The 20,908-nt window shown below is 42.9% G+C and overlaps 1 long non-coding RNA gene across 3 annotated transcripts in view; it reads left to right on the forward strand.

The window, feature by feature from the left end:
- Window positions 1-19,012, forward strand: part of LINC02577 (long intergenic non-protein coding RNA 2577) — a 63,465-nt gene extending 44,453 nt beyond the window's left edge. Inside the window, exons 2-5 of one of the 3 annotated variants that reach the window (NR_170304.1) lie at window positions 3,594-3,711; window positions 10,592-10,740; window positions 12,523-12,719; window positions 18,605-19,012. This is a non-coding gene — a long non-coding RNA (long intergenic non-protein coding RNA 2577). Of the gene's footprint in view, window positions 1-3,593; window positions 3,712-10,591; window positions 10,741-12,522; window positions 12,720-18,601 lie in introns of all 3 variants that reach the window. The other 2 variants (NR_170303.1, NR_170302.1) reach the window with 2 other exon arrangements.
- Window positions 19,013-20,908: the final 1,896 nt, after the last annotated feature.

Genomic DNA, 20,908 nt, shown 5'->3' on the forward strand with positions numbered 1-20,908 from the left:
GGATTCCTTTTGTCTTCTTAGCCCTCCCTGGACTGGCTTATTAACACTTTCTCCTGTACTTTTTCCTCTTGATTTTAAATGTGACTTTGTTATGGAATGTTTAACCTGTAACATTTATATATTGATTAAGTATACTATTATGTATGGTTTGCAATATTGATTGACTTGTGGAATGTCTTGAGCCTGTGTGCCTGAAGCTCTGACCACTGAGTAAGCAGGAAGTACTAAAGGGGATTGTTTCCTTGGGAACTCCATGCAGCTTCTGGCTTTTGTGATTGGAACAGTATCAACAAAAGCCTGACAGTGTGGAAAGACACAACCACACATGGACCTGGTTATTTCTAACCTTGCACCAATCATGACAGAATTGCAGTCACTCAATTGGAAAACTTAAATGCAATGGGTATCATTGAAACCTGGTGTGGCAGGGGCTAAGTGGTGGCACTCATCTATCAAAGGCAAGGTGTGTATAGTTACCATCTTAGACAGCTGAGGCACAGCAACAATCAGAATAGTGTGACTTGTGTAAATCCAGGGTGTTGGCTAGCTAACCATGGTGTTCCTAAAAGTAAAATAGATAGGAAGCCTACTAAGTTCTTACTTGATCTGTATAAACAGAAAACTATCAGGTCAAGTGAACAAAGGTTTAATTTGAAACATAAAAACAGAGAATCATTCCCTCTCAATCAATTCCTAGACTTGAGCCAGTTCACAGACCCAGAAATACTTGAATGAAGGGGAGGCCAGGTTCTGTCCAGGAAGTACCCTGGTACACTACTGAAAATTTACACTATTAAACTTTCTCCCATCCTTCCCCAAAGGGACCTACGGCCTTTTACCAGCATAACTGTGCACTGGGGAAAAGGAAGTACAGATCTTTCAGGACTACTGAACACTGCCTCTGAATTGACATTGATTCCAGGAGACCCAAAAAGTCACTGCGGCCCACAAGTCACAGCAAGGGCTTATAGAGGTTAGGTTAGCAATGGAGCTTTGGCTCAGGTCTGACTCACAATAGGTCTGGTGGGTCTGTGAACCCATCATGTGGTTATTTCCTCAGTTCCAGAATGTATGATTGGAACAGACGTTCTTGCCAGCTGGCAGAATCCCCATATTCCTTAACCTGTGGAATGAGGGCTATTATGGTGAGAAAGGCCAAATCAAAGCCATTAGAGCTGCCCCTACCTAGGAAAATAGTAAATCAAAATCCATTGATTGCGTCCCTGAAGGGATTGCAGAGATTAGTGCCACCATCAAGGACATGAAAGATGCAGGGGTGGAGATTCCTACCACATCCCCATTCAACTTTTCTATCTGGTCTGTGCAGAAGACAGAAGACAAATGGACTCTGGAGAATGACAGTGAATTATTGTAGTTTTAACCCAGTGATGACTCCAATTGCAGCTGCTATACGAGATGTGGTTTCATTGTTTAAGCAAATTAACACAACTCCTGGTACCTGGTATATAGCTGTTGATGTGGAGAATGGCTTTTTCTCCAACCCTGTCCATAAGGCCCACCAGAAGCAGTTTGCTTTCATCTGGCAAGGTCAGCAATACACCTTTACTGTCCTACCTCAGAATTATATCAACTATCCATCTCTATGTCACAATTTAGTTCACTGGGATCTTGATCACCTTTCCCATCCACAAGATATCATTCTGGCCCATTATATTATGCTGATTGGACCTAGTGAGCATGAAGTAGCAAGCACTCTGGACTTACTGGTGAGGCATTTTGTGTGTCAGAGGGTGGAAAATAAATCCAACCAAACTTCAGGGCCTTCTAGCTCCATGAAATTTCTATGGGTCCAGCAGTGTGCGGCATGTTGAGATATCCCTTCCAAGGTGATGAATAAGGTGTTCCATCTGGCCCCTCCTACAACCAAGAAAGAGGCACCATACCTAGTAGGCCTCTTTGGATTTTGAAGGCAACGTGTTCCTCCTTTTGGTGTGTTACTCTAGCCCATCTACCAAGTGACCTGGAAAGCTGCTAGTTTTGAATGGGGCCCAGAACAGGATAAGGCAGAGGCAACAGGTCCAGGCTGCTGTGCAAGCTACTCTGCCATTTGGGCCATATGACCCAGCAGATCCAATGGTGCTGGAGGGGTCAGTGGCAGATAAGGATGCTGTTTGAAGCCTTTCATTGGTCCCCATAGATAAATTGCAGCAAAGGCCCTTAGGATTTTGGGAGCAAGGCCTTGCCATCATCCACAAATAATGACCCTTCTTTTGAGAGGCAGTCTTGGCCTGCTACTAGGCCTTAGTAGAAACTGAACATTTGACCATGGGCCACCAAGTAACTATGCAACCTGAGCTGACCATCATTAACTAGGTGTTAACTGACCCACCAAGCCATAACGTTGGGCATACACAGCAGCCCTCTATCATCAAATGGAAGTGATATACACATAACTGGGCCCAAGCAGGTTCTGAAGCACAAGTAAGTTACACAAAGTGACCCAAATGCCCCTGGTTCCAACTACACTGCCTCAGCCTGCACCAATGGCCCCATGGGGAGTATCCTATGATCAATTGATAGAGGTCCCAGTTTACAGGTGGTTCTGCATAATATGCAGGCACCATCCAAAAGTGGACAGTTTCAGCAATACCATCCCTTTGTGGGACATCTTTAGAGGATAGCGGTGAAGAGAAATCTCAGTGTGTAGAACTTTGGACAGTGCACCACGTTGTACACTTTGCTTGGATGGAGAAATGGCCAGATGTGGAATTATATACCAATTCATGAACTGTAACCAATGGTTTGGCCAGATGGTCAGAGAATTGAAAGAAACATAATTGGAAAATTGGTGACAAAGAAATTTGGGGAAGAGATATGTGGATGGACCTGAGTGGGAAAAAGATGTGAAGATGATTATGTCCTTTGCCAATGCTCACCAAAGTGTGATCTCAGCAGAGGAGGACTAATAATCAAGGAGATGGGATGACCCATTCTGTGGATACTAGTCACCCTCTTTCCCCAGCTACCCCTACCATCATCCAATGGACTCAAGAATAAATTGCCCAGCGTGGCAGAGATGGAAGTCATGTATGAGTTCAGCAACATAGACCTCCACTTAGCAAAGCTGACCTGGCTACAGTCACCTCTGAGGGCTCAATCTGCCAGCAGCCAAGACCCACACTGAGCCCTTGATACAGTATCATTGGCTTCGGTGGATCAGCCAGCTACCTTGTGGCAGGTTGATTACTCCAATCTCTGGAAACACCCTGACATACCCAGAAATAATGCTTTACCACTTCTCCAGGTATTCCTCAATCCAGTCAACATGACACCTAAAATTAATGATGACAAGTCCACCTCTTGTCTGTACTTAATCTACACACCTACACACCTCTCTGTAAACTGAACTTAATCTCCAAGTAAAGACAATAACAAGGTAATAGACCCACCTAACCTGATACAATTATCCTGCATACAATAAAAAACTAATCCCTTACCCAGAAGATGGGGTAAAGTCCTTGAATGATATTTACTTGTCTCCTGATATTTCATAACTTAAATACTATGATGTAAAATTAACAATACTTAAATACTGATATAAAGTGAATATATCTTTTTTTTTTTTGAGACAGAGTCTTGCTGTGTTGCCCAGGCCAGAGTGCAATGGCATGATCTCAGCTAACTGCAACCTCCACTTCCTGAGTTCAAGTGATTCTCGTGCCTCAGCCTCCTGAGAAGCTGAGATTACAGGTACGTGCTACCACGCTAATTTTTTGTATTTTTAGTAGAGATGGGGTTCCATCACTTTGGCCAGGCTGGTCTCCAACTCCTGGCCTCAAGTGATCTGCCCACCTCAGCCTCCCGAAGTGCTGGAATAACAGGCGTGAGCCACTGTGCCAGGTCCCTAAAGTCAATATATCTTATGTTAAATGATTAAGAGAGGAATGAAAACAAAGATATTTGTTTAATATATGTGTGTATACACACACACGCACACACACACACACACACACAAATGTATTCTGAACAAAATACGGAGAAAATACTGATGACAATTACAGTCCTCATTTCTGTAACTGGTCACACAGTCATAACTGGTATTTATAACTACTTTCTTCCAATATCCATTCTGTATTCTCTTTGCCCTCAGCAAGCACCTCAGCTAGTCACGGTTCTTTACCTGGTGGGGTGAACCTTCATTTCTGAAGGGTCTGGGTCAATTGTAGTCCTGCTTGGATTAGGTTGTTGTAATTTTCCATTGACTTTAATCACAGAGTTTGGTGATACTAAGAGATGCCCTAAGGGATCTTCTGTATTCCAGACATACTCTCCCTTAACCCCAATGTGGAGTACTCATCCAGTTTCCCCTTGGTAGTCTGGATCAATTTCCCCAGCCAACACAGTAACTCCTTTGTTTGCCTGTTGACTCACAGGCATGAGGAGCCCAAAGTGACTGGGTGGCAGTCTTAACTTCCAGTTGAATGGAATCATTGTTGTGTCTCCTGGTGGCAGCACTCTTCTCTGATGCTAAGACTTGTAGGCCAGCAGAGCATAAAGTCACAGAAACAGGAAACAACATTTTTCTAGTGGGTCAATAGGGATAATGGCAAATGGTGCCACTCCCACTTCCATCATAGGATGGGCAACATTTCGTTCTTACCGGCACTTACTCTGGATATAGATTTGCCTTCCTTGTATGCAATGCTTCTGCCAAAACGACCATCTGTGGACTTACAGAATGTTTATCCATTATCTTGGCATTCCACACAGCATTGCTTCTGACCAAGGAACTCACTTCCCAACCAAAAATGTGCAGCAATGGGCTCATGCTCACGGAGTTCACTGACCTTACCAAGGTCCCCATTGTCCTGAAGCAACTGGCTTGATGAATGGCATTTTGAGTCACAGTTACAGCATCAACTAGGTGATAATACTTTACAGGGCTGGGATGAGGTTCTCCAGAAAGCTATATATCCTTTGAACCAGTGTCCAATATATGGTACTGTTTCTCTTATAGCCAAGATTCACAGTTCCAGGAATCAAGGGGTATAAATGGGAGTGGCACCACTCACCCTTATCCTTAGTGACCCAGTAGCAAAATGTTGTTTCCTGTTTCTGTGACTTTATGCTCTGCTGGCCTACAAGTCTTAGCATCAGAGAAGAGCGCTGCCATAGGAGACATAACGATGACTCCATTCAACTGGAAGTTAAGACTGCCACCCACTTTGGGCTTCTCATGCCTATGAGTCAACGGGCAAACAAGGGAGTTACTGTGGTGGCTGGGGAAATTGATCCAGACTACTAAGGGGAAACTGGATGAGTACTCCACATTGGGGTTTAGGGAGAGTATGTCTGGAATACGGAAGATCCCTTAGGGCATCTCTTAGTACTACCAAACCCTGTGATTAAAGTCAATGAGAAATTACAACAACCCAATCCAAGCAGGACTACAATTGACCCAGACCCTTCAGGAATGAAGGTTCACCCCACCAGGTAAAGAACCATGACCAGATGAGGTGCATGTTGAAGGCAAAGGGAATACAGAATGGATATTGGAAGAAAGTAGTTATAAATACCAGTTATGATCATGTGACCAGTTACAGAAATGAGGACTGTAATTGTCATATTTCTCCCTATTTTGTTAAGAATGCATTTGTATTTATATATACATATATTAAACAAGTATCTTTGTTTTCATTCCTCTGAATCATTTAACTTAAGATATATTGACTTTATATCAGTATTTAAGTATTGTTAATAATACATCATAATATTTAAGTGATGGGATATCAGGAGACAAGTAAACATCATTCAAGGACTTTACCTCCTCTTCTGGGTAAGGGTTTAGTGGTGTTTTGTTTTGTTTTGTTTTGTTTTGTTTTTTGAGACGGAGTTTCACTCTTGCTGCCCAGGCTGGCGTGCAATGGCATGATCTCTGCTCACTGCAACCTCCGCCTCCTGGGTTCAAGCGATTCTACTGTCTCAGCCTCCTGAGTAGCTGGGATTACAGGCATGCGCCACCACATCCGGCTAATTTTGTATTTTTGGTAGAAACAGGGTTTCTCCATGTTGGTCAGGCTGGTCTCCAACTCCCCACCTCAGGTGATCCGCCTGCCTCACCTTCCCAAGGTGCTGGGATTACAAACATGAGCCACAGGATAATTGTATCAGGTTAGGTAGGACTATTACCTTGTTATTGTCTTTATTTGGAGACTAAGTACAGTTTACAGAGACGTGTGTGGGTGCCAAGTTGACAAGCAGTGGACTTGTGATAGTTAATTTTAGGTGTCAACTTGACTGGATTCAGGAATACCTGGCGAACTGGTAAAGCTTTATTTCTGGGTGTGTCTATGAGGTGTTTCCAGAGGAGATTGGTGTGTAAGTCAGTGGAGTGAGTGGGAAAGATCCACCTTTGATGTGGCCAGGCACCATCCAATCAGCTGGGGACCTGGATAGAACAACAACAAAAAAAACGGCAAAGGAAAGATGATTTTCAATCTCTTTCTCTCCTGGAGCTAGGATATTCTCCTTCTGCCCATAGACTTTAGAACTCCATGTTCTTCAGCCTGTGGATTCCAGGACTTACACCAGTGGCCTCCTGGGTTCTTAGGACTTTGGGCTTGGACTGGAAATTACACCACTGGTTTCTGGACTTTTGGACTTGGACTGAACCATGCTATCACCATTCCATGGTCTCCACCAGCTTGCAGGTGGCCTGCAGTGGGACTTCTCAGCCTCTATAATAGCATGAGCCAATTCCCCCAGTAACTCCCTGTCTTATATCTATAGCTATAGCTATACCATATTGGTTCTGTTGCTCTGGACAACCCTGACTAATAAATACACTGGCAGATATAGAAACAGATAATGACAGCATTTTTGAATACAGGTTAAAATAATTTTCTGAAATCAACTCTAATAAAAAGGACAACCACTTATGAAACATTTCCTGCCATATGGACCTATATAGGGAGAAGGTATTTTCCAGTAATGCCTTTATGATTATAATTAACATTTAAAGAAATGAAGAATGACAGCTTTTATAAGCAGTAGCTGGAATTAGCTGTAGTGAGAAAAAGTGAAGTCCTCCATTTTTACACTTTCTAGTCTCAAGTGTCTTGTTTCCACAACTTCATCCCTCTCTTATTATTTTAGTAAAATCCTTCCCTGTGTCACCCTCAACACCAAAAAATATATTAATTAAAAGCATTCTCATTAAAAATCTGTCGTGTCTTTTTATCTGCATGCATTTCTCGTTAAGCCCTGTACGGTCTTATCTATAACAATAAAATTTCATCATCACAGGATGGCTGTCTCTGGTATTAGTTCTGATGAACTGGTTTTAGAGTCTAAGTCTCAAGAGACTTTGTTCACAGAGCAGGTTTTGCTTATGTGGACTTAGGTGGACACCCATGGCCACCATAGTCACTTTTGCTGGCAACGCCCAAGATAATAAAATCTTACTATTCTACTAAATCCCTCAGCTCATCTGTAACTCCACCCTGGCTGTTCCTTTACACTTGAGGGGCCTCAATTGGACTTCCAGGGTATCATGGATTTGGTCCACAGCTAAACATATATCCTCAACCACTTAGTCCTAAATTTTGTGGCAAAATATCTATGGTGATAAACAAACATTGGGAACTTAATATAGTCACAGAGAGTACATACTCTATTTTATGCAGACAACCATGGACATGTGCAATAAATGATGTTAGTTGTGTGTATGTGAACAGAGTTTAGTGTTATCAAAACTGCTGAAAAGCTAATTCGGCACCTTCAGCGACGTGTCTATTTAACATTCTGCTGCATAGTAATTATGCATAAATGGGAAGCAGTTTTCATAAGTTGTGGTGATTACTTTTACCATGCCAAGTTTTATAGTGTTTTTAGTGTGTGTGGCCGGGGGAGATTTAATAATGTCTGTAAATAATGTCGATGTCAACAGAGTCCCCTAACATCATATAAATCCAAACAAAGGCACCAGTCCAAAGACTGATCCACCAATTTCTGGGACCCCCTGGGCAGTAGTATTCACCTGCTGGCACTGGAATCAGATTGTGTGTTTTCTTCAGTGTGCCTCTATCTTCTGGGTTAATTATCCCCCATGCTACACATACCAATGCTTCCTCATCCTTATATAAAAGAACATTGTACATCAATTAACTTTTTATTGTTCTCCTTTCAAAAAGCTGGGCCCCATGCTTTAAAGGCCCCTAATGTTACCAAAACTAGAAAAGAAATGTATCAGAGAACACATGGTCACCTTTGTTCCTGGGAACCAGGTGTTCAGAACTGACACAATATCACAATATAACCCGTGATCCTAAACATCTGTTCTCATGACTAACACCATTCAGGACCCAGCAAAACACTTCTTTGCATGTCTTGCACTATGTATGCCCTATGATCTCAAAATGAAAGTTGATTCCAGCTGAAGGACTTGAAGGTTTCTGGGATGTATCTGCTGACTTCTGAGCTGTTGCTTTGAGACTGGGGAGATGTGACAGATGGAAACATCTAAGTAAAATACAAATGAATTAATTTTTCAAATCTTTCTTCTCAGCTTGAATGCACCCAGATTCTTACGCTAACTAAGTAGCATTTCCCAATAATGTCAAAGCTTCTCTTAGCACTCCAATTCCAGAGGGATTAGTTTGGTTCTAGGGTACTCACAAATTAATATGATATTCACAATAGTTCCATATGACCCCTTAGGAATATATATTTAGCAATATTAACCAATTCATATTACTACAAAATTATATATTTGTAGGTTTGGATATAACATTCATGAAACTGATACCAATTTTCACATTGCTACTTGATACTGGATATTGCTTTAAGAGATGGAAGAATCACAACATATGCAATAGTAGTTTGTATAATATTGGTATATAATAGTGTGTGGATTTTTGACCCTAAATCCAAAAATGTTTCAAAGGAGTCACTGACTGCAAAGAAATTTTAATAATATGTTAAATAATTTATTTCACTTTTGTTTTTATTCTACATGAGTAATAGAACAGCAGCTCTCAACGTGTGGTCTAAAAGTTCCTGGGAGTGCCAAAACCCTTTCAGGGGGCCCACAACAACAAATTCTGTTTTCATAATAATACCAAGGTATTATTTGTATTTTTCACTGTGTTAACATTTGTATAGATGGTAAAAAGTACTGATGGATATAATTGATGGTGCCTTAGCACACATCAAGCCAGTGGCACCAAATTTACTAGTAATCACTGTATTCTTACTACTGCATACCACAATTTTTTAAAAGCTGAATTCTCATAAGAATATTCTTAATGAAGCAAAAAGTACTTCTGCTGCATAACAAAGTATTATCGTTATCTTGAAAAGAAGCATTTTTGTAATTAATATTATACTTCCAAGCAAAAATCGAATCTTAAAAAACCTTGTGTCACTGTGAACTTGATACCTTCCCAATACTTCAAGATTCTTCTGATGAGATCGATGGTGATAGTAAGAAATGTGATTTTTTTGGGATATTGTATAATAAAATGTGTCAACATTTGGAAAATTGGCATAACTCAGTGGACCCATATTTTCTAAATGACCATTGCATGATGTTACAAAATCATGCATGAATAAAAAAATCCATTCAAAGTGCAAGACAGACCAATCAATTTTAATATAACAGATTATGAAAGTTCATTGATGTAGTTTCAGATTTGATATTGTTACAGTAGGTAGTCAGACATAAGCAGCACCAAGGAAAGATAATCCCCCAATAGATAAAAACACCTGAAACTGGTGATCCGCAGCTTCCCAATAAGATCTCAGGAGTCGGGTATATGGGCTCAAGCATGCACATTAATGGGCAAAAGGACAGAGTTCAACTGGTATATAACCTCCCTCTAAAAGCATTTGAATGGTAAGGGAAAAACGCCACAAGTGAGCATGTGCACAATTTCAGTAAACACACTGGGCCTGCAGCCCCTCCCAAGTGCTAGCAGAACACTGCACATGCGGACAGCCCACCCCAAGGGAAGAATCAGGGAAAGAAGGGATGCAACACCCACTCACCCCCAACCAAAGCATGCCAAGGTATAAAACCCCAAGTCAAAGGTCAAACTGCGCACTTGAATCTCTCAAGTCGCCCGCATGGCCCTCTTCCAATTGTACTTTACTTTCGTTCCTGCTCTAAAACTTTTTACTAAACTTTTTCTCCTGCTCTAAAACTGTCAGGCCTCTGAGCCCAAGCTAAGCCATCACAACCCCTGTGACTTGCATGTATACATCCAGATGGTCTGGAGCAACTGGAGAACCACAAAAGAAGTGAAACAGTCAGTTCCTGCCTTAACTGATGACATTCCACCATTGTGATTTGTTCCTGCCCCACCCTAACTAATCAATCGACCTCGTGACATTCCTCCCCTGGACAATGTGTCTCATGATCTCCCCACCCTGCCCCTTGAGACCCCCGCCCCTGCCCATAAGAGATAACCACCTTTAACTGTAATTTTCCACTACCTACCCAAATCCTATAGAACTGCCCCACCCCTATCTCCCTTTGCTGACTCCTTTTTCGGACTCAGCCCACCTGCACCCAAGTGAATAAAGAGCCTCGTTGCTCACACAAAGCCTGTTTGGTGGTCTCCTCACACAGACGCATGTAACATTTGGTGCTGAAACCCAAGACAGGGGACTCCTTCAGAAGACCAGCCCCCTGTCCTCACCCTCAGTCCGGGAGGAGATCCACCTACGACCTCGGGTCCTCAGACCAGCCCAAGGAACATCTCACCAATTTCAAATTGGGTAAGTGACCTCTTCACTCTCTTCTCCAGCCTCTCTTGCTACCCTTCAATCTCCCTATCCTTCCAACTCCAGTTCTCTTTCCTCTCTAGTAGAGGCAAAGGAGACACATTTTATCCACGAACTCAAAAATTCCGATGTCGGTCATGGATTTGGGAAGACAGTCTTCCCTTGGTGTCTGATCATAGCGGGGACGCCTGCCTTGATCATTCACCCACACTCCATTGGTGGCAGGTCAATTGCAGGGACACCTGCTTTGGCTGCTCACCCACATTACAGCCGAGGACTCAGTCAGGGATGCCTACTAGAAGCCTGGCAGCTGCCTACCTCCATTTCTCCGTGTCTCTACCTTCCTCTTTAAACTTACCTTCCCCACTATGGGCAAGCTTCTGCCATCCATTCCTCCCTCTTCCCCCTTAGCCTGTGTTCTTAAAAACCTAAAACCCCTTCAACTAACACCTGACCTAAAACCTAAACATCTTATATTCTTCTGTAATACCGCTGGGCCCCAATACAAACTTGACAATAGTTCCAAGTGGTCAGAGGATGGTAATTTTTATTTGTCTATCCTACAAGACCTAGATAATTTTTGTCAAAAATTAGGCAAATGGTCTGAGGTGCCTTACGTCCAGGCCTTTTTTACACTTTGCTCTCTCCCTAGTCTCTGCTCCCAATGTGACTTATCCCAGATTTTCCTTCTTTCTCTCCCGTCCACTCCTTCGGTCTCCACCCCAAGCTCAGAGTCCTCTGAATCCTCCTTTTCCACTGACCCCTCTGACCTCTCTCCTCCTCCCCCGGCCGCTCCTCGCCGGGCTGAATCATGTCCCAATTCTTCCACAGCCTCCACTCCCCCACACTATAACCCTTCTATTACCTCCTCTCCTCACACCTGGTCTGGCTTACAGTTTCGTTCCGTGACTAGCTCTCTTCCACCTGACCAACAATTTCCTCTTAGAGAGGTGGCTGGAGCTGAAGGCATAGTCAGGGTACATGTGCCTTTTTCGGACCTCTTCCAGATCAGTCAGCATTTAGGCTCTTTCTCATCAGACCCCACTAAATATATACAGGAATTCCAATATTTAACTCAGTCCTACAATTTAATCTAGAGTGACTTAAATGTCATCCTGACTTCTACCCTCTCCCCAGATGAGTGAGAGAGAGTTTATAACCTAGGCCAATCTCACGCTGACGACTGCCGGCATCATGAGCCAGGCCTCCAAGAAGGCACCAGGGCAGTTCCCCAGGAGGGTCCCCAGTGGGGATACCAAACAGGCTCCCAAGATATAGCTAGGCGAGATTACATGGTCTCTTGCCTAGTTGAGGGGCTCAAAAAGGCAGCATACAAAGCTGTTAATTATGAAAAACTTAAAGAAACCACCCAAGGTAAGGACAAGAACCCAGCTCAGTTCATGGCCCGCTTGGGGGCTACCCTTAGACACTTTACAGTCCTGGACCCAGACATTAGGAAAAAACTCCAAAAACTAGATTCCGGCCCTCAAACCCCAGAACAACATTTAATTAACCTCACCTTCAAGGTGATTAACAACAGAGAAGAGGCAGCCAAGCGACAACATATTTCAAAGCTGCAACTGCTTGCCTCCACCATAAGAAAAATCCCAGCCACACCCATGGTACACAAAAACCTCAGAACAACAAAACCGCAACCTCCAGGCACTCCTTCAAAACCTCCTTGTGGACCTTGCTTCAAATGCCAGAAGCCTGGCCACTGGGCCTCGGAATGCCCACAGCCCGGGATTCCTCCTAAGCCTTGTCCTGTCTGTGCAGGACCCCACTGGAAGTCGGACCATCCAACTTGGATTACAGCTGCTCCTAGACCTACTGGAGCAAAAAGCTAAGGCTCCTGGCTGATTCCTTCCCAGATCTCCTCGGCTTAGTGGCTAAAGACTGACGCTGCCAAATCATCTCGGAAGCCCCCTGGACCATCACGGATGCCGAGCTTCGGATAACTCCTACAGTGGAGGGTAAGTCCATCCCCTGTTTAATAGATACGGGGTCTACCCACTCCACATTACCTTCTTTTCAAGGGCCCGTTTCTCTTGCCCTCATAACTGTTGTGGGTATTGACGGCCAAGCTTCAAAACCCCTTAAAACTCCCCCACTCTGGTGCCAACTTGGACGACATTCTTTTATGCACTCTTTTTTAGTTATCCCCACCTGCCCAATTCCCTTATTAGGCAGAGACATTTTCACCAAATTATCTGCTTCCCTGACTATTCCTGGGCTACAGCCACATCTCATTGCTGCACTTTTACCCAACTCTTTCACATCCTCCCCTGGTATCTCCCCAACTTAATCCACAAGTATGGGATACCTCTACTCCTACCTTGGTGACCAATCATGCACCCCTTATCATCTCATTAAAACCTAATCAACATTACCCCACTCAACGCCAATATCTCATTCCACAATAGGCTTTAAAAGGGTTAAAGCCTGTTATCACCCACCTGTTACAACATGGCCTCTTAAAGCCTACAAATTCTCCTTACAACTCCCCTATCCTACCCATCCAGAAACTGGACAAGTCTTATAGGTTGGTTCAGGATCTTCACCTTATTAATCAAATCATCCTTCCTATCCATCCTATAGTGCCAAACCCGTACACCCTCCTATCTTCAATATCCCCTTCCACAACTCACTATTCTGTTATCAACCTCAAAGATGGCTTCTTTACTCTCCCCTTGCATCCCTCCTCTCAGCCTCTTTTTCGCCTTTACTTGGACTGACCCTGACACCCACCAATCCCAACAACTCAACTGGACTGTTCTGCCCCAAGGCTTCAGGGACAGCCCACACTACTTTGGCCAGGGCCTTTCTCATGATCTGCTTTGTTTTCGCCCACCTGCCTCCCACCTTATTCAATATTTTGATGATCTTTTTTGCAGCCCCTCTTACCAATCTTCCCAGTAGGACACTATCCTGCTTCTTCAACATCTCTACTCAAAGGGGTACCAAGTATACCCCTCCAACGCACAAATTTCTTCCCCTAGCGTTACCTATCTCAGTATAATCCTCCATCAACATACATGTGCCCTTCCTGCAGACCGTGTTTAGTTAATCTCCCAGACCCCAATCCCCACCACCAAACAACTCCTTTCCTTCTAAGGCATTGTTGGATATTTCCGACTCCAGATACCAGGCTTTGCTATCCTAACCAAACCACTTTACAAGCTCACAAAAGGTAACTTAACTGATCCCATAGACCCTAAGTCTTTTCCCCATTCTACCTTTCGCTCTCTCAAAAAGGCCCTGGAGACAGCTCCCGCACAAGAACTCCCGACTCGTCCCATCCTTTTTCCTTACACACGGCTGAAATAAAAGGCTGTGCTGCTGGAGTCCTCGCACAGGAGCCAGGCCCACAACCTGTTGCCTTTCTATCAAAACAACTTGACCTCACAGTTCTGGGCTGGCCCTCATGTCTGTGTGTGGCAGCAGCCGCCACTTTAATACTTCCAGAGCCCTTCAAAATCACAGGCTATGCTCCAATTACCTTTACAGTTCTTACAACCTTCAAGCATTAATATCCTCTTCACACCTTTCACATTTATTGTCTGCCGCTCAACTCCTCCAGCTCTATTAGCTCTATTCACTCTTTGTTGAAACTCCAACAGTAACTATTACCCATCGGCCCAATTTCAACCCAGCTTCTCACATAGCACCCAACACAAGTCCTGAACCACATGACTGTATTTCCCTAACATACATGGCATCTTCCCCCTTTCCTCATATTGCTATTCTTCCAATTCCAAACCCAGACCACACTTGGTTTATCGATGGCAGTTCTTCTAAACCCAATCAATTTTCACCAGCTAAAGCTGGATATGCTGTCATGTCCCACACCTCTATTATCGAAGCTGCTGCACTTCCTCCCTCCACCACTTTCCAACAAGCCGAACTGATTGCTTTAACTCGTACGCTCTCTCTCGCTAAAGGAATGCACATTAACATTTATACTGACTCCAAATACTCCAAATATGCTTTCCATATCCTCCATAACCATGCTGCCATCTGGGCTGAAAGAGGCTTCCTTACCACACAAGGCTCTTCCATTATCAATGCCTCTCTAATAAAAGCCCTCCTTAAGGCTGCTCTCCTGCCGGCCAAGGCTGGAGTCATTCATTGTAAAGGACACCAGAAACCTACAGATTTTATTGCAAAAGGAAATGCCTATGCTGACAGGACAGCAAAAGAATAGCCAATGCCTCCACACCTGCTAATATTCCAGCCCCCACTCCAGAGGGCAAGTATTTTTCTTTCTCCTCTATCACTCCCACCTACTCTGAAAATCTGCTCTACCAGCCTTTTCCAACTCAGGGCTAGTGGTTCTTAGATCATGGAAAATTCATTCTTCCTGCCTCACAAGCTCAGTCCATTCTTTCTTCCCTTCATGACCACTTCCATGTGGGATACAAGCCTCTGTCTCGCCTCCTGGAGCTCCTCATCTCCTTCACTTCATGGAAATCCATCCTTAAGACCATCACCTCTCAATGCTATGTCTATCATACCACCAGCCCCCAAGGCTTTCTCAGGCCTCCTCCTTTTCCTACGCATCAGGCTCATGGATTTACTCCAACACAAGATTGGCAGATTGACTCTACTCATATGCTCCATGTCCATAAATTTAAATATCTCCTGGTTTGGATCAACACCTTCACCAGATGGGTCAAGGCCTTTCCCACTTTTTGCAGTAGCTCCAAAAAGGCTACTGCAGTCATCTCTTCCCTTCTAACAGATATTAATTCCCCAATTTGGCCTCCTACTTCTATTCAATTTGACAATGGTCCGGCTTTTATTAGTCATATCACCCAAGCTGCTTCTCAGGCTCTTGGTATTCAGTGGAATCTTCATACCCCTTACCGTCCTCAATCTTCAGGAAAGGTAGAATGGACTAATTGTCTTTTAAAAACACACGTCACCAAGCTCAGCCTCCAACTTAAAAAGGACTCGACAGTACTTCTACCAGTTGCCCTTAGAATTAGAGCTTGTCCTCTAGATGCTACAGGGTACAGCCCATTTGAACTGTTTTTTTGTTTTTGTTTTTTTTTTAAGAGACGGAGTCTTGCTCTGTCGCCCAGGCTGGAGTGCAGTGGCATGATCTCGGCTCACTGCAAGCTCCGCCTCCCAGGTTCATGCCATTCTCCTGCCTCAGCCTCCCAACTAGCTGGGACTACAGGCGCCCACCACCATGCCCAGCTAATTTTTTGTATTTTTAGTAGAGACGGGGTTTCACTGTGTTAGCCCATTTGAACTTTTATACGGACACACTTTCTTGCTCGGCCCCAATCTTGTTACAGACACCAGCCCTCTGGGTGACTATCTTCCAGTCCTCCAGGAGGCTAGACAGGAAATTCACCAGGCTGCTAATCTTCTCTTGCCTACTCCAGATTCCCAGCTATATGAAGACACCCTAGCTGGATGATCGGTTCTTTTAAGAGTCTGTTCCCTTAAACTCTACAGCCTCAATGGACTGGACCCTACCTAGTCATCTATAGCACGTCAACAGCTGTCTGTCTACAGGACCCTCCCTCTTGGGTTCACCATTCCAGAATAAAGCTGTGTCCATTGGACAGCCAGCCTGGTCTCTCCTCTTCCTCCTGGAAGTCACAAGTACTCTCCCCTACTTCCCTTAAACTCACTCGCATTTCTGAAGAACAGTAATAACCCTTATGACCCTAATACATCCCTTCATTCTATTAGGTCTATTCGTCCTTACCCTACTTTTTGCAACAGGGCTTTACGCAGTCACCCCCACTACTTGGACTGTGCCCCAAAAACTTGGCATCCCTGCTATCTTCTGTCTAGTCATACTCCTATTCACCATTCTCAACTACTCATAAATGCCCTGACCCTGTTTACACTGCTGGTTTACACTTTTTCTCCAAACTATCATAGCAGATATCTCCTGGTACTATCCCCAAAATGCCACCCTTAACTCCCTCTTGGAGTGGGTAGATGATCTTTGCTTGCAGGGCACCCTCCAAAACTTCCACCCTGATGAAGTCCTAGTCTTTACTTTTATACTCACTCTTATTCTCGTTCTCATTCTTATGTCTCTCTCTACCTCTCCCCAGCTATCTCCACGACACTATCAATCTCACTCACTCTCTCCTAGCTGTTTCTAATCCCTCATTAGTGAACAATTGCTGGCTTTGCATTTCCCTTTCTTCCTGCACTTACATGGCTCTCCCCACCTTACATACCAACTAGGCAATATCTCCTGTCTCCCTACATCTCCGAACCTCCTTTAACAGCCCTCATCTTTACTCTTCTGAAGAACTTCTTTACTTTCTAGACAGGTCTAGAAAAACCTCCTCAGACATTTCATATTAGCAAGCTGATGCTCTTCTCTGCATCTACTTAAAAACCTTTCTCCTTATGTCATTTCTACTCCTCCCATATTTGGACCCCTCACAACACAAACTGCTATCCCTGTTGCCGCTCCTTTGTGCATCTCCCAGCGAAGACCCACCAGAATTCCCTTAGGTAACCTTTCACCTTCTCTATGCTCCTTCACTCTTCATCTCCAAAGCCCAGCTACACACATTACCAAAACCATTGGGGCTTTTCAGCTCCGCATTACAGATAAGCCCTCTATCAATACTGACAAACTTAAAAACATTAGCAGTTACCATTGCTTAGGAAGACATTTGCCCTGCATTTCATTCCATCCTTGGCTACCTTCCCCTTATTCTTCAGATTCTCCTCCCAGCCCTTCTTGTTTGCTCATACCCAGCCCCACAAATACCAGTGAGAGATTGCTCATAGACACTCAACGCTTCCTCATACACCATGAAAATCAAACCTCCCCCTCTATGCAGTTACCCCATCAGTCCCCATTACAACTTCTGACAGCTGCTGCCTTAGCTGGATCCCTAGGAGTCTGGGTGCAAGACACTTCTTTTAGTACACCCTCTCACCTTTTCACTTTGCACTTCCAGTTTTGCCTTACACAACGTCTCTTTTTCCTCTGTGGCTCATCCACTAACATGTGCCTCCTGCTAATTGGACAGGCACATGCACACTAGTTTTCCTTTCCCCCAAAATTCAATTTGCAAATGGGACTGAATAGCTTCCTGTTCCCCTCATGACACCGACACAACAAAAAAGGATTATTCCACTAATTCCCTTGCTTGTTGGTTCAGGACTTTCTGCCTCCACTATTGCTCTCCCAACTGGAATAGCAGGCATTTCAACCTCTGTCACGACCTTCCGTAGCCTCTCTAATGACTTCTCTGCTAGCACTGCAGACATATCACAAACTCTATCAGTCCTTCAGGCCCAGGTTGACTCTTTAGCTGCAGTTGTCCCCCAAAACCACCGAGGCCTCGACTTACTCACTGCTGAAAGAGGACTCTGTATATTTTTAAATGAAGAGTGTTGTTTTTAACCTACATCAATCTGGCCTGGTATATGACAACATAAAAAAACTCAAGGATAGAGCCCAAAAACTCACCAACCAAGCAAATAATTACATTGAACCCCCTTGGACACTCTCTAATTGAATGTCCTGGGTCCTCCCAATTCTTAGTCGTTTGATAATTGTTTTTCTCCTTCTCTTATTCGGACCTTGTGTCTTCCCTCTAGTTTCTCAATTCATACAAAACCACATCCAAGCCATCACCAATCATTCTATACAACAAATGCTCCTTCTAACAATCCCACAATATCACCCCTTACCCCAAAATCTCTTTTTAGTTTAATCTCTCCCACTCTAGGTTCCCATGCCACCCCTAATCCCACTTGAAGCAGCCCTGAGAAACATTGCCTATTATCTCTCCATACCACCCCAAAAATTTTTGCCACCCCAACACTTCACCACTATTTTGTTTTATCTTATTAATATAAGAAGACAGGAATGTCAGGCCTGTGAGCCCAAAGTAAGCCATCATAACCCCTGTGACCTGCATGTATACGTCCAGATGGCCTGGAGCAACTGAAGAACCACAAAAGAAGTGAAACAGCCAGTTCCTGCCTTAACTGATGACATTCCACCATTGTGATTTGTTCCTGCCCCACCCTAACTAATCAATCGACCTTGTGACATTCCTCCCCTGGACAATGAGTCTCATGATCTCCCCACCCTGCACCTTGTGTCCCCCATCCCTGCCTGTAAGAGATAACCACCTTTAACTGTAATTTTCCACTACCTACCCAAATCCTATAAAACTGCCCCACCCCTATTTCCCTTTGCTGACTCCTTTTTCGGACTCAGCCCACCTGCACCCAAGTGAATAAACAGCCTCATTGCTCACACAGAGCCTGTTTGGTGGTCTCTTCACACAGACGTGTGTAACTAAAACTTGCCTAGGTCTTTCACTCTGCCTTATGACCCTTGGTCAAATTCTTTCTTCTGAAGAGGCAAGAATTGAGGTTGCTGCCGAACCATATGGATTTGCCACTGCTAACAATATTGCAACTAATGTTTAAGGAACTACCATTTGTCAAGTTTTGAATATTCACAATTCTTGAAAAGGCTATTATTGAATTATTGAATGCAGAAATATATATGAAAATCCAGCTAAATTTTATTCAGCCAAACATTAAAGGAATATGAAAAAATGTAAAGCAACCCTACTCTTCACATTCATATTTTAACAACATATTTGTACAAAATATTTTAATGTATAATGAATTTATTATTTTAAAAGCAATTCATAAAAGTTTTGAAAATTTCTCAATTTTAATTTCCAATACTGCAAAGATCAATGGATAAAATCCACATAAACCAAAGCTTTTGGGGCTCCTAAACAATATCTCAGAATCCTTTTAAGAGTATAAAGTGATTCTGAGAGTTTTTTTAATGAGAACTGCTGCATTAGATTGATATAAAGTAAAAATCTATGTCCAAATTTGTCTAGGAGGTCTTTCAACACATATAAAAATAAGCAACAAAGCATTATATCAGAGTTCATTTGTCACAGTATTTTATTTCTTGGTGGAACATAAACTAATGGTGCATCTTACAATCTATAGATTCTTAGATTCATTCAAAAATGAAACCTATGTCAAGAAAACCTGCGAATAATTGCACCAAAGATGACACATAATCCTGCATGTGCAATTAAGTATTCAATTTAGAAAAGGCTACACTTCATGATTCTTTGTATCATTAGCTTTTCCCACACATTTAAAGTGTGATCTACATTATGAAAATTCTGTTCACCCTCACTTTGGCAAGAAAGCACATTTGAGGAGCAATTATATTTGTAATGTTAGAGGTAGAATGCTGGCTTTCATTTTGGTCATGATTTTTCCCAGTGATGCATGGCTTCACACTTCCATATCTAATTCAAATTGTTTAGTTCAAAATTATCTGAAGATCTTTACTTGGCTGCTTTTTTTTTGATGGCTTCTTTTTTCCATCTTAGTGAGACCACACTTCTGGAAAGAACTACACTCTATTTGATGTTCCACCAAGACATTTAACCAGCGACGTGTTGCACAGTTGACTTCACTGAGGCTCTGAGCCTTTCTTGTCATTAGGACAACCCTGAGGGGACACCCTGCTACTTACTTGTGATGCAGTCACAGGAAATTATTCAAATGAGAATTTAAATAAGATGGATTTGCAGCTTCATAGTGATTTGTGTCAACTAAAAAAAGGAAGTAGTTTTATAATGAAATGTTTACAATAACACACATGAAGTTTACAGTTTTATGTACATACTTAGTTTTACCATTAATGCAGAAGTTAAATATATCTAGAAATAATTGCTGAATATTACATATGTACACACACACATATATTTTGTATGCGTGTGTATCTATCTATCTAAATGATTGGTAGGCAAGAAGCAGTTAGTAATTAATTTTTTCACACCTGTGGGCAATCTTACCTACTAAGTTACCCTTAATATTTTCACAATTTAGTAGTATATAAACAAGATGCATATATTTAAGAGTTGTCAGGCGTATGGTCAGAAAATTAGCTACTCAGGTCACAAATCACTCAGAATGACTCTGAGATTTCTTGTTATTCGTGATTCCCATGATTTGACATATACTAACTGAAAATACTCAGTTCATCTCACAGCCAGATATACCTCAGTTGTATTAAAGAATGTAAAGAACTATGTTGATTCTGAAACAGTAGTGAAAACTTTCAGCCCTGGTGCCATTGAAAAAAATGTTTTACTCAGATTATTCTCAGTTC

This window comes from Homo sapiens, chromosome 7, assembly GCF_000001405.40.
Source record: "Homo sapiens chromosome 7, GRCh38.p14 Primary Assembly".
NCBI lineage: Eukaryota > Metazoa > Chordata > Mammalia > Primates > Hominidae > Homo > Homo sapiens.